The sequence below is a fragment of the Homo sapiens genome, chromosome 16 (assembly GCF_000001405.40).
Source record: "Homo sapiens chromosome 16, GRCh38.p14 Primary Assembly".
In the NCBI taxonomy this organism is placed as follows: Eukaryota; Metazoa; Chordata; class Mammalia; order Primates; family Hominidae; genus Homo; species Homo sapiens.
This window is the reverse complement of record NC_000016.10, coordinates 61,210,474-61,227,427: the sequence shown is the minus strand read 5'-3', so window position 1 is coordinate 61,227,427 and position 16,954 is coordinate 61,210,474.

Sequence of the window (16,954 nt, the reverse complement as noted above, 5' to 3'; positions counted from 1 at the left end):
TTCTTAGGGTTCTCATGGTGGTTCAGTGTTATTCACAAGTAGACAAAATTAATGTTAAAAGTGTAAAAAAGGCTTTGGCTGCTAATATGGCTTACCTGTATTTGCATATGAAATTTGTAGGAAAGTATTTTCTTTCATGAAATACTTCACTATTTTTCTGTTTAAAATTATTTCTATTTACCTATCTGTTTCAAAGAAAAAAAAGTAGCAAGAAACCACATTTTACTGTATTAAACTGTATTAACAGTTTACTGTATTAAACTATTATTAATACTAATGACATTAATAATACCCACACCAGTAATTATAATCATGTTATGTCTTATACTTTCTCCTATATGTCCTACCATTTATAAAACTCTTCCAGAAACATGAACTTATTTCTTTTTCATAACATTTCCATGAGGTAGCCATCATTGTTTACATTCGCTGAATAAATAACAAGGATTAGAAAGATTAACAGATTGCCCAAGTAATAAGTGATGGGGCTAACATTTCTATATTTCAAATAAAACATATAGGTTGCACTTAAATAGGCTCGGCCTCTGATTCACTCCATTGTGTATTAGTGGCAGTTTCTTAATTATTTTTTATTTATTTATTTTCTTTTTTTGAAACAGAGCTTCACTCTTGTTGCCCAAGCTATAGTGCAATGGCACGATCTCGGCTCACCACAACCTCTGCCTCAAGGGTTCCAGCGATTCTCCTGCCTCAGCCTCCCGAGTAGCTGGGATTACAGGCATGCACCACCATGCCTGGCTAATTTTGTGTTTTTAGCAGAGATGGGGTTTCTCCATCTGGATGAGGCTGGTCTCAAACTCCTGACCTCAGGTGATCCACCTGCCTTGGCCTCCCAAAGTGCCGGGATTACAGGTGTGAGCCACCATGCCTGGCCTCTCAATTACTTTTACTGGACAATCACAAAGCCTAGATTTTTCACATCAAATGTATTTTGTTGTTAGTGTAAAGATATAAGAAAGATATAAAATTTAGATTCTTAATTCATCATACCATGCTGCTGGGGTTAGAAGAAAAACAAATTTCTAAATGTTTTGAACTAGTTTCAAAGAATTAATGCTTTGACAAACCCTTTGTGCTCCAAATACCCACTAATAACAATTAAAAATGGAAACAAAAGCACGAATGTTTGGTTTATCATGAAAGCAACCTAAAAGTCGTGTGTGTGTGTGTGTGTGTGTGCATGTGTGCAGAAACACCCAGAAATGGGAAACAATGGATAGGGCTGAAGCTCTGGGTCTCTAGTCACTGGATTCAGAAGAAGGCAGTGGCCATTGGGAATTGAGTTTCTCTCGAGGAAAAGAGAATTAAAATTATTCCTTAATCAGGGTTTAAAACTCTGGCTTGCCGATAGAAGAAAATATAATGTAGGCAGAGGCTATTTTTGACATGTAAGTTTGTCATGTAGTTTGACAGAGGTTTTATGAGTCAAAAGGGAAAATCTAAAGCTCTGTGACTATCCCTGACTAAGAGATGAATCTGGGTTGTCCCTAATTATTACTGGAAGTCATAAATGCCACTATAAAAATCTAATGCTTTATAGGAGCCATCATAGCTGGGTAGAGACACTAAAACATGATGGACATACAGGAGTTGAGAAGAAAAAAGAGGGAAAGAAGAAAGAAAACAACATTCTTCTCACAGTGGGTGAATAAACAAATGGAGAATTTCAAAGAGTAAAAAAGTGTGTACTGAGACAGCCAATGAAATCAGCAATCTGAACATGAATACATTCCAGGTAAAGTTAAACTTAGATTAAACCCCTCATCAATATTTTAAACTATGAGAATTTACAATGATTAAAATGATTCATGAAATACTTCCATTTAAAAATAGAATAAAATTATAAAATAAAACGTGGCAGAATAAAACAAGAAAATGTGAAAATAAAAAATAATAAACATCTTAAAATACATATCATGGAAATAAAAACAAATCACCATTGTAAGATAAAAAATACTAAATAGGTTATATGAATTCTAGTGTGGGGGAATACCAAAAAAGAAAATTACTAAATTTAAATGAATTGGTATAGAACTTAGAATACAGCACAGTTAAATAAAGAAACAGCAAAAATACAAGAAACCAAAGAAGAGATAGATAATAGTTTGGGAGATTAAATATATAATTTAATAGCAAATGTAGAGGGAAGAATCGAGACAATGCAGGAGAAAAAGTATTTGAAATAATAATTGCTGAAGGATTTCAGAAATTAAGAATAAAAATGAGTGCTGACTTCAGGCTCTCAGAATACAAAAGGACAGGAAGAAATGAATCCAAATGGCAGGTGCGGGATTAAAAAAAAAAAAGCTTCAGGGAAATTGACAGGCTACGTTGACAACTTTAACTAACAATTGTCCTGTTCTCATGGTCCTTATGGAGGGAGTTTTGAGGTTGACCCTCTATGCTAATGACTGAGCAGAGGTAAGTTTAATTGAAAGATAAGGTATTTGCAACCCGTATGGCCATACAGCTAAGTTACATTGCTCACATGGCTTTATCCATGATACAGTCACTATCTATATCTACATATTTTCACTCCAGCATTTATATTTCAAGTGTTTTCAGACCCAAAAAGGGAGGAGAAAAACAAGGATTATTGACCCTTTAATATTTTTAAAATACTTATATTTAAGTAATAACAATAATAGTGTTAATAATGATGTACTGCTCCCCCCAAAAATCTATAGTTTTCAAATCAGCAGCAATAGCACAGAAAGAAAGAGAAAGAGAGATTATGGAATACAATACAGATCTAACAGAAGACAGTAAGATAGTAGAGAAATTTCAATAGCGTATATCAAGCACAAAATATACAATTATTAAAAATCCACCAAAAGACAAAATACATCATCCTGTGATTATTATAAAAAAAGATAAAACAAAATGACAGAACCATATAAAATACTTGAATGTAAATGGAGAGAAAAGATTTAGTTTGCTAATATAACCAAAAAAGTTACCATAGACATATTAATAAAATCAAAATAAAACATAAGAAAAAACTTTAACAAGAATAAAATAGACAGCATACATTAATAAAATAAACCTAGAAGACACAGCTGTCTCTAATATAGATGTACATTACATCATAGCAAAACTTGGTAGAATTACAGAGAAAAAAACCAACAAGGTGTGATATTTTTATACTGTTTTATCATAAATTGATAGCAAATGCTGCAAAGTATAAGAAACATATAGAAAATCTATTATAAAATGGACAATTGTAGATATATATGGAGGAATGTAGAGCTCTTTTCCAATATATGAAGCATTAAAAATATGAGCACAAAAATATAAAAAATTAAAATATATATTTTGCTAATTTGAAATTACATTAGAATTCAACATAAAAAGATAATTAAATTCACACAAATGTTGATTTTGAAACTTTCAAAATTAATTCTTGGATGATTCATGGGTTAAAGAAATTACATAGGAAATATTTGAAATTTAAAAAGAGAAACAGTACATGGCATATAACAAAATGTGTGAAACACAGCTAAAGCGGTACTTGCATATAAATTTGCACCTGCAAATGGGTGTATTAAAATTTTAAAAAGCACACAAAATGAATTTTGATGTTCAAACTAAAACTTTAGTTTTAGTTTAAAGTGTTTGTTAAATAAAGTAAAAGAAAGAAAACTCTAAGAGCGTAAATTAATGAAATAAAAAAATAATGAAATAATTACCAAAACAGAAACTTTAAACACTATAGTTATATAATATGCAAATGTAAAAAGACTGATAAAAATTATTGAAACAAATATAATTTAAAAGTTAAAGGTTATCATTGCATAAACACTGACATTTAAAAACTACTAAGCAGGCCGGGCGCGGTGGCTCACACCTGTAATCCCAGCACTTTGAGAGGCCAAGGCGGGGAGATCACGAGGTCAGGAGATCGATGCCATCCTGGCCAACATGGTGAAACACCATCTCTACTAAAAATACAAACATTAGCTGGCTGTGGTGGCACATGCCTGTAATCCCAGCTACTCTGGCGGCTGAAGCACGAGAATTGCCTGAACCCAGGAGGCCAGGAGGTGGAGGTTGTAGTGAGCCAAGATCGCGTCACTGCACTCCAGCCTGGCGACAGTGAGACTCTGTCTCAAAAAAACAAAAACAACAACAACAGAAAACTACTAAGCATATTCTATGAACAACTGAACAATAATTTTAAAAGTTTGAATGTACATATTGTTCTCTGGAAAAATATTAACTACCAAATTTGACTAGAGACAAAAGACTGAAGAAATGGATTTCCATTAAAGGATTTAAAACTGCAACAAAAATTTTCCCCTCAAATGTAACCAGAAGGAAACGTTTTCTATGTAAGTTTTACCTAATTTCAAATATCAGTTCATCTTTATCATACACATATTACTTCAGAAAACGTTAACAAATAACAAATAAATCAAACTGCATTCTATGACTTTGACAGCAAAGCCAGGCTACACAGAGCACATGGACAGATTAAAGAGAAAAAGAAAAAAAGTTAGGATCAATTCCATATCTGTGCAAAAATTCAAATTCAAACTTCATTCATAGGAAAATACTTAACAAACTAAAAATACAAACAAGCTTGTGTCACCTAATAAGGGGTATACAGTAACCTAGAGAAAGCTAGATACGGAATACTAAAATTTTAACAGCGTTTCCATTATTTCAGGAACACTTTAAGAATTCCCTCTCACAAATCTGGTTTAACATTATGTCAGGTAGTCTAGACACTGAGATAAGAGATTAATAAAAACGAAGAGGAGGAGGAAAACCAGAAGGTAGAAGGAAAGGAGAGGGAGAAGGAATAATTACAAAGAAAGAAAGAAAATTTAATTAGCAAATAGCATGATTTTCTAACGAGAAAATCCAACATGCTGTACAAATAAGTTTTTAGTTCTAAGAAAGTTAAGCAAATTGCTAAATACAAAATCAACTTAAAAACCAACATTTCTATAAATCATTTAGATAATAGAACAATCTTTAATGCACCAGAAGGGCAATTCTATTTTCTTTTTTTATTTTTATTATACTTTAAGTTCTAGGGTACATGTGCACAACGTGCAGGTTTGTTACATATGTATACATGTGCCATGTTGGTGTGCTGCACCCATTAACTCCTCATTTACATTAGGTATATTTCCTAATGCTATCCCTCCCCCCTCCCCCCACCCCACGGCAGGTCCCGTATGTGGTGTTCCCCACCCTGTGTTCAAGTGTTCTCATTGTTCAATTCCCACCTATGAGTGAGAACATGTGGTGTTTGGTTTTCTGTCCTTGTGATAGTTTGCTGAGAATGATGGTTTCCAGCTCCATCCATGTCCCTACAAAGGACATGAACTCATCCTTTTTTATGACTGCATAGTATTCCATGGTGTGGGGAACACAACAATTAAGTATGAATGAATTTAATAGAATATATGTAAAACAATTACGGAGAATTGCACAGTGCAAGAGGAGTCGGAATAATCCTGAAGAAGAATTAGATGAGAGACTCACCATATCCGATATCAAGCATCATTAAAGCAACAGAGTTTGGTATTTAGAGTAGGGTTAGAAAAAGATATTAGCGGAAGGGAACTGGCCATTTGAAAGACACCCATACATGGCCGGGCACGGTGGCTCACGCCTGTAATCCCAGCACTTTGGGAGGCCAAGGCGGGCGGATCATGAGGCCAGGAGATCGAGACCATCCTGGCTAACACGGTGAAACCCCGTCTCTACTAAAAATACAAAAAAAATTAGCCGGGCGAGGTGGCGGGCGCCTGTAGTCCCAGCTACGCGGGAGGCCGAGGCAGGAGAATGGCGTGAACCCCGGGGGGCGGAGACTGCAGTGAGCCGAGATCGCGCCACTGCACTCCAGCCTGGGTGAAAGAGCGAGACTCCATCTCAAAAAAAAAAAAAAGAAAAGAAAAGAAAAGAAAGACACCCATACATGTGTAGGCACTTATATGACAAACAGAAAGGAACCGAGATCTCTACCTCACACCACAAACAAAAACACTTCTAGTTAAATTAAAAAGCAAGTGCAAAAGCAAAACTTTATCACTTTTGAAAAAAATGAGAAACAAGTAATCAAAGTAGAGAAGTCGTGAGAAAATATTAAGACAATTTAAAATATTAAAAACATTGTGATTAACACAGTAATTCACAAGTGGAAAACTTACAAAACTATAGACTGGGAGAAAATATTTACAACACAAAAAAAATCCAAGAAAAAAAACTGACATCCAGAATTTTAAAATATGTAAATAGAAACCCTACAAATAACAACATAAAGACAAACCCAGTAGGAAAAATGGACAAAGGTGTTGACAGGCAAGTCAGAGAAACAGAAACAAGGACGGCCAATTAATATATGAAAAGACGTCCCATTGTATTCAGGTAAATATAAATTAAAGCAGAGACATCACTCATACCCTGATATTGGCAAAATTTAAGAATCTTAATAATTATGTTTGGGCAAGTAAAGTGCTTATACGCTATCAGTGGGAGTGAAAAATTTTATAACCAATTTTTAGAACAATTGAGTCATATCTAGTAAAGCTGAAGAAAACTTAGTTATTATCCAAGAATTTTACTTCTAAAGACACTCTTTGAATTGTCCCCAAGAAGGTATGCACAGTGTTCACCTCCACATTATGAGTAATAACAAAAAAGTAAATATTTATAAAGAGGCAAACAGTAAACACATACATAGGAGTTAACACAAATGAGACACGTATTGAAATGGTTAAATCTCAAAGCATATTGCAAGCAGACCTAGAAACGTACAGATTATAGCATTTATATATTTTTTTAAAACTGAATTTTACTTCTTAGAGAAGTTTTAGGTTCACAGCATGAGAGAAATGTACAGAGATGCTCCATGTGCCCCTCCTCCCCCAACATGTACAGCCTCCCTCATCACCAACACCCCCACAAGAGTGGTACAATTGTTACCATTGATGAGGCTACATGGGCACTTATCATCATCCAAAGCCCCCAGTTTACAGTAAGGTTCACTCCTGAAGTACATTCTGTGGGTTTGGACAAATTTATAATATATGTAGCCACTACTGTATCACACAGAGCAGTTTCACTCTCCTAAATGTGAGATTTTATAAAAGATTTAATATATGATTTGAAATCCTGCAAAAGCATGAAACGCGTACTATTGTGTGTAGATAATATGTCATGTAGGTTCAAATGCATGGGCTGTTTATGGTGTATTCTGATTCAGTGTGGTCCACATACAAAAGTCAGAAGATATTTTTCATCTTTGTATTCCCAGCGACAAGCAGAGGGCCTGGCAAAACTTAGGAACCTCATGATGTATGTTTTAAATTAAAGCCAACAATAGCCTATTTAATAACAAAAGCAAATATTTCTTTCGTTGCATTCTATTTTGTTGCCATTGCTAATAAATGAGTCCTGTAACTGATAAAATTTAAGAAAATGTCACTGGGGAGAAAGACTGTGCTGAAATGAGGTTTTTTAAATAGTACAGCAGTTACAAAGGAGACAAACCCGACAGGCCATTTCTGTCCTCATTTGCTGGTACTCTCAGGTCTGAGGGACTTTTCCCAGTTTCTCAGTCAACACAAATCAAACATAATCACACTAGTTTGTCCTTTATGTTTCACTGCCCAAGTATCACACTATTACCCAATGTTCTTTGGGCTAGAGCTAGAAGCTTTTTATCTTGGTATCTAAGGCAGTTTGGTGATATACCTGATATTAGAGTCCAAACTAATCACAGTGATGCACAGAGCTAAGGTCATTCTAGCTTTACATGCTAATTGTTCTGCTAACAGTCTTCAATTACAAAAATATTAAAGGCCATGCTTATGTAGTATTTAGCGCAAGAGGCAGAAATCTATTGGTTAATTGAAATCCCAAGTAAGATATTATTACAAAAAGAAAAAAAATGAAAGAAAGTTGAATATAGAAATTTTCTTCTGGGAGGAGGAACAGTTTCTTAGATTACAACAAACTATGTAAAAGCAAATTGAAGAAGAGTACAAATCTATGGCCTATTTCTGCTTGTCTCCTCCAGCCCATTCCTTTGCGTTAATGAAACCTCTACTTGGCTCCACAGATGGACGTATAGGTTAATGTTGTAAGGGTCATTTTTTTCTCAGCTAAAATGACTGTGTGCTTTCTATAAGCTTATTGGAAAAAAACAACTGTTTTTACATTACAGTTTCCAGTTATTATAATTTCAGGCACAATATCTGTGTTTTATTTTTCTTCTCGTTTTTCTTAAGTTGTCTAGTCTTCATATACATGAATCTGTATATATGTATCTATATATTTTCATACACACATATACACACACACACATGAAAGCCACTCTAGGCCATCCAAATTTTCCCTCTGAAAGTGTTTTCCCATTGCAGCAGTTCTGATAGCAGGAGCTTATTATAACATAACCTGATGGAGTGTTGCAGTCGACTTTGGAAATACGTTTTCTGGTGTTTTATCCTGCTTATTAGTGGGTCTCCAGGTGCGAATGTAATTCCTCAAGTGTCGAAATTACGTGAAGGGCCTTTGACTTAGCAACACTGGCAGAAGCTGGAGGGAGGGCACACAGATATTTTGCGCTGGGCATAATGTTGTGGCCTACTGCCCGGAGAGTGCATTTGCCATTCTAAACCCTTTGTGTCTCCTCTGGAACCATTTTCCAAAAATACATGTTGTGGTGTGTATTTAAAGGATAGTTGGGGACCCAAATACCACTATATGCCTTTGAAATACAAAATAATGTTAAAATAATAACACCATGGTCTTTCTTTGGGTTGCCCAGGTTCCTAAGGATAATTCTTATTTTAAATTTTTGTGAAAAATTAGCAGTGTGCAATACATTAGAACACACTAGAGGCTTTTTAACTGTACTCACTACTGAAGGACAAATTACTTTTGCCAACAATGTGAAGCAGGAGTGAGACGTCATCATGGTTAAGGAAGGAAACAGATGATGATGAACATTTATCTCATGCCTATAACTTTTTAGGCTCTGTACTAATTACTCTGATTTCCCCATTTAATTATATCCTCACTTCATTTTTGTGCTGTAGGAAGCTCATCTTGGAGGTGAGAAAACTGAGCCATATTGAAATTAATTCATGTGACCCAGGGTTACACACCTAATGTATGTTAGCATTGGGGTTAAAGAACAACAAACACAGCAAAACCCACATCACGTAAATATTGACAGTTGTGTCACAAACTATTGGCATGTAATACTTTTAAGATTTTTTTTTGTCTGAAAAACGATTATGGAAGAGAACAGACTTCAAAATCATACAGAAAGGCCCCAAATCAATGTTCCTTTTTTCCTATGGAGAGGCTGTCGCTGATATACGCAAGTTATACACACACATATACATATAGATATTACACATACATAAACATATGTAAAATTATATATGTAAAAAGAATAGTAATAAGACAGGCCTATAGGAGTAATGATAAATAGTATGTCAAGACAGTTCAATATTTCTAGTCATATGAATAATTGTCCCCTTAACATTCTGGTGGCCACCTATTGTAAGTATGGGAATAGATGAAATTAAGAATGCCAAGATATTTTGATGATGCTTGATAGAAATTTAAATATATTCATGTGTTTCAATATGTACCGAAATTTACATTACATTTAAAATACATTAAATGGTATATGCTTATATTCAGATTAGATATTTTAATTTGGCTTCAGCAGGATAAAGAAAGGCGGTGCTCATTTTCCTTGAACTTCATTACTGAAAGCTAATGATCTTTTATTCTATGTTATTACACCCTGCAGTTTTTTGAGAAACCCATAATTTCTAAGTAGCATCGCTAATTAGCTAGATGCTGTTGTTTGCATACAAATAATAGTTACTGTAATTCTGTTCATCTTTATATAAGAAATAGCACATTGTAACAATCAATTCCCCTTCAATTGATAAACTGGTTTTCTGTAGTTCCCAGGTGTAACATATTAAATAAGGCATATAAGAACTTATTTTTAAACGTGTAAATGAGTACTAGTCAGGAAATAAGCTTGGAGTATTATGGGGTGTTGAGATTTAATGTCATTAAAGCTCAAGCTTTGCATTTTTAGGGGCAAGGGTGCGTGTAAAGATGTAGGGGAGATAGGGTAAAAAGACAACATTTTTAAGGAGCTCTTCTAGACCTCATCAACAGAGTCAGCATTAATTGGCACTACTTTCTGCCTGCATAAATGCTATGGGTCTTGTGTAAATAAGAAAAAGAGGCTTTTAAAATTCCAATTTCAACTCATGACTTAGAATTTAATGAAACTGTTCAAGTTCAGCACTTTAATCTCACAAATTGGTTTATCACAGCCTAGTGGCCACTTCTTGTTTCATAATAAGCACAACAACAAATATCTATGAACACTTAGAAAATTAAACCAAGGGAAGTATATGCAATTCTGAGCTCATTAGAAGCAATTCATATTTTCATCTGTCTCATTAGAGAGGTTTTTATGAACTGAGTAATAAACTTTTCTATCTGTGTTTTTAAAATTTTCAGTCCAGCTGGTAGGAGCAAAGTTTTCTCATTATCCCCAAACGATATACATATATATTTTTAAAGCACAACTTGTGATTGAAAGAGCAGAAATGCAAGGCAATAAAGAAATTCAGAATAATGAGGGTATAATATCGATTATTCAGAAAAGTTTCAGTGAATTATTTTGCATTAATACCCACAGATTTGACTCCACATTTTGAGGATCCTTTATTTGAAAGAACAATTGGCATTACAGACAAAAATCATAAGGTCAAAAATGGAAAAAAATGACGTATTTGTTAATGAGCACTGCTTCAGCATATTTTTTTCCTGTATTAAATACAGTATCTGTCCTTTGTAGTGTGTATAGAAAACTTTCTTCTCTAGTTTTGTCAGATAAAATCAAAAGTGGGCATTTTTTTCGTGTTTCAAACCAGCTGAATGCAAGGCAAAAATTGTTAAACTTGAATCTGAACTTAAAAAATATTTCCAAATGATGTCTTTCTTGTTCATCTTTAGAATAAACAATATCATCTCTATTTGGGTTATATTTAGGTGTTGATTCTATAATAACAAGCAATATAATTTAGCCCTAAGCACAGCTTAAGGGTGCCTTTTCATAATCTTCATCATGAGCTGCTATGAATTAGAATATTATTGGAAAACCTTAGCACCTGATAAAAGTATCTAATGTATAATTGATTTCAAACTGTGCCTTGAAAATGCTTGAATTAAGTATATTGAATCATGCTGTGGTTTTACACTTCCCTAACCTTGAACATGCTACTGCACCTGGAATATAATTTCTCTTCTCCACCTGCCTATTCTTTGCCTAGACAAAGCATGAACATAAATATATTATCATAAAGAGGAAGTGAGTTGTGATTAGTGGAAAAAAACTTAGAGTTTATTCACTGTTCTGTTAAGGTCACACAAACATGAATTACAATTTTTCTCCAAAAACACAGCAATATTCCAAGAGAACTATTGCGGCCCAGGAGTAACTTAGGTAATAGGGCAGCATGTTCAAGGTTAGGGAAGTGTAAAACCACATGATTCTTCTGAGAACTGTAAATACTTCAGCATGACTGGAGCAGAGGATGCAGTGTGTGTGTGCGCTGAGGGGTGAGCAGAGTGCTCCTAAGAAAACAGATGAGAAGAACATGTTGAAAAGATTTATATGTCTTGCTAAAGAATATAGATTTTCATCCTGAAGGCCATTGCAGTCACTAGTAATTTAAACAGGGAATGGCACTGGCACGTTTGTATTTTGAAAAATTATATTCTTCCAATAAATTTCTAACTACTTTGAGCGGGCTTCTATTTTCCTGGAATATGAATGGGGTGGGATGGGCAATCTTCCATCTCAGCCAAGGCCTCTTCTGTTTGCTAATGGCAGCCTTTTTGTGATCGTGATGGTTACATTTTGAAACTTCAGAGCACAGCATCAGCTTTCTTGCTAACGCTTCACATAGGTGTCTGGATATTGTCCATCTTTACTGTTACTCAAATTCCACCTCACTTCCTTGGCTCTAAGATTTTTGTCCTTTTAGATGAAATTTCCTGCATCTTTGTCTATTCTATTACTGTTGAGATGAGTGGAAAAGAAAGGATAGAATGGAAGCCAGGTAATCTGGAGCCAGCTTATAAATTTGCCTAGCAAATATTGTACTACATCAAACACATAATATTCCAGTCCTCAAATCCCAACATAAATTAACAACAAATCTTGGGTTATGTTTACAAAATAAGTTAGTAAACAAGTAGGACAGAGTGCCTATTGTGTAGCTACCTTTTGTCACTATATACATTGGTAGGAACTTAAGGAATTTGTAGCATCTGAAGATAATTTGGGTGTCAGTTGGAAGTGTGCCCAGGATTGAAAGCCTGCTGTTGCTCTAAAATGTCACCTGGGACCATGTCATCAATCTACGCACCTTTCCTGAATGGCTTTGATGCCGATCAGTCTGGTTTCCCTGAGTATTAAAGTAATGGGCTCCTGGCTCTATTTCAGCTCTGTCAAAGTAGCTGCCGCTCCTCTCTATTGCCTTCCTACAGGGATTTAATCTACTCCAAGTTCCCTGACACATTATAAGGAGGAAATCTGTTTTCTCTGTCACTTTTTCTTTCTCAGCTAGGTCTGCATCAGAACATCTTTGCTTTGGATAAGATGGTGCAGACTTGCCATGAAAGCCGGTGTTCTCATCCGTGCTATGAGTTGTCTAACTTAAGGGTATTGTTTCCCCACACCCCCAAGGGTTCCTGCATGTTTCTGCATGTAAGAAATACCTTGCAACAAATACGTGCTCAACTTATTTTCACCTCTTCTGTGAAGTGTCTGACCCCTCAAGGAGACAATGCTACTTCTTGTGGACTTGCAAAATTACACAATTTCATGCCTATAAAATCCTTGTAATATATTTTATTTGTTACTCTTCTATCTTTTTCCTACTGGAGAGTAAACTCTTTGATGAAAGAAATTGCACTTCTGTAGTAATATTAATAACAAAAATATCCATGGACTGCTTACTCTGAGAGACACAATGGACTAAATACTTTTTGTGTATTATCTTATTGTATCTTCACAACAAATGTGATGCTGCTTTTGTTTGTGTATTTTTTTTAGTTTAGTTTAGTTTTGTTTTGTTTTTAGATTGCACAGAAGCTTAGGAATATGTGCAAGCCTAGATGTGATCCCAGTCCAACAGATTTCACAGCCTTCTCTCTACCTGAGTTTTACTTCGGCTCCCTGACAACAATGCAAATTTGTCAAGCAGCTTGATTGTCTGAATCAATCCTCACAGAAACCTATTTTATGGATGAAGAAACAGAGGCTCAAAGATGTTAAGCCATTTCACTAAAGTCATGCAATCGGTAAGCTATGGGGGCAAAGTCAAGCTAGCTAAAAAATTGTGTTCACTCGGTGAATGTCCTGTGAATGACCTGTCTCCCTGTTTTACTTTTCTAACGCAAGAATCTGGACCAAGGACTCACAGAGGATAATAGAATAAGCATTGAATAAACTAGTTTGGTTGCTTACTGTTTAAAACCCATTTTAGAAGGAAATGAAATATATTTTCTCAGAAAATTAACATTTTAATATCTTATGATTTTCATCTACTTGCTTCTGTGTGTGTGTGGATATGTACATTATAAGTCCTAAGCCTATCAGAAAATTTCATTTTCCTAGATAAAATCATTGTACAGGGACTGACAAGTGATCAATAAATTGAATTTTGGTGAACTATTGCTTGAAAGGCTGGGAGAAGCATGTTCTCTCCTTTGCATATTGTCACATCCAGATGAAGCCTTGAAATTCTTGAGTACACAACTTTCTGATGGAACATGATGCTGATACCAAAAAGACAGGCAAGATGGGAAATGTGTAGATAAATGGATAAATGAATAAATGGAGTCACAACACCTAGCTTAGGTGAAAAGCAGAAACTGGCCTACCTCCAGAATTCCAGTGATGTGTACTGCTGATACATTTCCTGATGGTTTAAGCCCATTGATTTGGATTTTTATTATTTGATACAAAATGTATACTAATTGATATGTTTGCAGAATTGAAATTCATACACCCGCTCTGGCAGACACTAGCCATGGGATTTGGGGTTAACCTAAATGGATCCTCAACTTCTAACCAAATAGAACTACATTTCTACCCAAATTGGTTGCTATGAGTATGAGACAGGACAACTTGCAGTAAACACTCATTAAATAATCTGTGACCATATAGCCAAGTAATTGTTTGATATTAATTAGGTTACTTATCTACTCCTTTTATCTCCTGTTGCATTAAAAAATAACAAACCCAACATTGTTGGGCATATACTGTGTCCCTGGCACTGTGCTAAAGGCTTCATATTTGTCAATTCACTTAATCCCAGGTACAGCCACAAGAAATGGATCCTAGTCTTACCTCCTTTTTATACACGAGAAAATAATGGTGTTACCCAAACCCCTGGGATACTTACTTATTCTTTGTAAACCACAAACTCTGAAAATAATATTTGGCACAACAAAATGGAAATATTTGAAAGACATTTCTATAAAAAAAAAAGCATTCCAGTCAATACTAACCTTTCAAAATAGGCAGCCAAAAAAGGTGTATGCCATCAATAAAAATCGTCTGATAAAAATTATGAAATTTACTAAGTAAGTTTATTTCTAAGTGGGATTTGCTATAGTGTAATGAAAAAGAGATTTGATACTAAAGAGAGTTCAAGACTCCTTATTTGAAAGGTCAAGGTTTATGGGAAAGTCATGTATTCATTTTTAGTCTCCTCCATCTCTATGAAATAGAGATAATAATTAAATCTCTTTCCAACCCTAAAACAACCAACCAAGGACACTGCACAAACAACACAGAACAAAGGTCCAGGGCTATCTAAGTGCTCCACAAGTGCTATTATAATAATTATTATATTAGTTAGCAGACGTTTTTGTGCTCCTAGTTACTGCTTTTTCAGTAAAACATGTATTTCTGATTACAATGAAATTAAAAGAAATGTGCCACCATCGACTGAACAATCACTGTGCTTGTGGTTGCAAAGGATTTGGCAGAATTCTTGAAAAAATTTTACCTGGGAAAAAAGAAAAATAAAGTATCATTTTGTCTGTGAAAGAGATGGCAAACTACTTAGAAAAAAAAAAAAGCAGGCATGTAAACTATTTTCTCTGAAGAGTACTTTTGAGATGTCAATGGGATTTATTTTTTTCAGCAAACATCTTTATGGCAAACTGCCTTTTGCCTTTCAAGTTTGTTGGTGGTAGGGTTGCTGCCAGAGTATGTGTTGATCTTTGTTTAGTTTTATTGAAAGTATACATTGTACACACCATTTGCTAAATGAGGGGGCATCAGAGAATAATAGAAATCTCGTAGGTCTTACAGAGCTGACTGGTACTCAGACACATTCAGACGGATTGTGTAACAGCCTTTAAAAAGATAAAAATTGTTATGTTTGTAGGAATCCCCTGAGATTCTCTTACATACTCCTTAAGAATTTTGTTGTTGTTGTTTCACATTCCTTTATCTTTTAAAAAAAAACCTTATCAGACTCTATATTTTCAGAGCCGGCAGAGTTCTTACCGTATTTTACATGCTTAGTAAATGTCTTCCATTAAATAGAATGAATGACTAGGACTAAAAGAGTTTTCTTCCGCCTCCATGTCATAACTCATGTGGGCCAAACTGGCCTGAAGGCCCCAAAATTTTCAACATTGAGCTCCAACCTGGTCTGCACTTTTCCTCTCTGAATTGGTGTGATCAATCCTTTCCAATTACACAGTTTATTGTGGTGAGAACTTCTAGAAGGTGAGCCTCTTGAGAATGTAAAACTCACAATCCAATGTCCAACTGAACACTCAAAAAATATAATTCTCAGTGCATTTCTGGAATAGCTGATTTTTAGGCACAAATTATATCTGGTCAAAATGGAGTTTTTTTCTAATAATCTGTTCCATTGTAGGTGCCCTACTCATTCCCCACCAGTGGTTTGCTTTGCCTGTGAGTATGAAGGACAGCTTGATGCCTCTCATCTTGTATTCCCTGGGTATCCATGTGATAATATCTACATGTCTCTCAGTGACTTCTGCTTAAAAGGAGATAGCCAAAAGTCTACTAAGCACCAGTGAGAACCTGGGATCTTCATGTACAAAATCATCTGCTTTCAGGCATAGTTCATTCCCTTTAATGACCTCTGGCTCAGCTTACCTCTCATAGCATCTCCTCTCTCACTCAGAATGATTTTAAGGACACCTATGGTTTTCTTTCCCATGTAGAAGCTGATGACCCACATCTTTTTCTTCCTATCCCTTACTTTCTTCTCCTAAATAATAATCACATATATGCATTAAATCCATCTCCAAATTCAGCATTTACCAAAGAAGAGTCTTCACCCAAAATGTTCAAAAGAGTTAAAAATACTCCTTTCATTTTATATAAAACATTTTTAAGGGTAGCAACAAATAACAAAGCCATGTGTCTTTTAATGATTCTAGATGGCTCTTTCCCATGTGGTCCCTACACTTTTTTGCTGCAGATTCCTGGTGGCTCCACCTCCTGAGTATTTGTCAGTGCTATGAGATAAGTTATCTTACCTCTAATGTGGGAGTGTATGTGGGAGTGGTCCCACATACACATTATGATGTCCAATCCTTGCAATAAATCTTTGAAAGATGCCTTTTATTCCCTTATCAATGAGAAAACTGAAGTGTGCCTAAGCACCTTCAGCTAGCAAGTGGTAAACCCATCTTTGTTCTCAAGTCTGGCTGAGATCATAGCTGATATAATCTATTATGTACCACTGTTTTTTGATTAGGAAGATAACATTTAAATACGTGTAGTTCTATTCCAGTGTCTTTCTGACCAATTTCCTAGGGTGATCTGGGCTATACCTAACCATTGCTGATGAAATAATGTTTTAAAAGG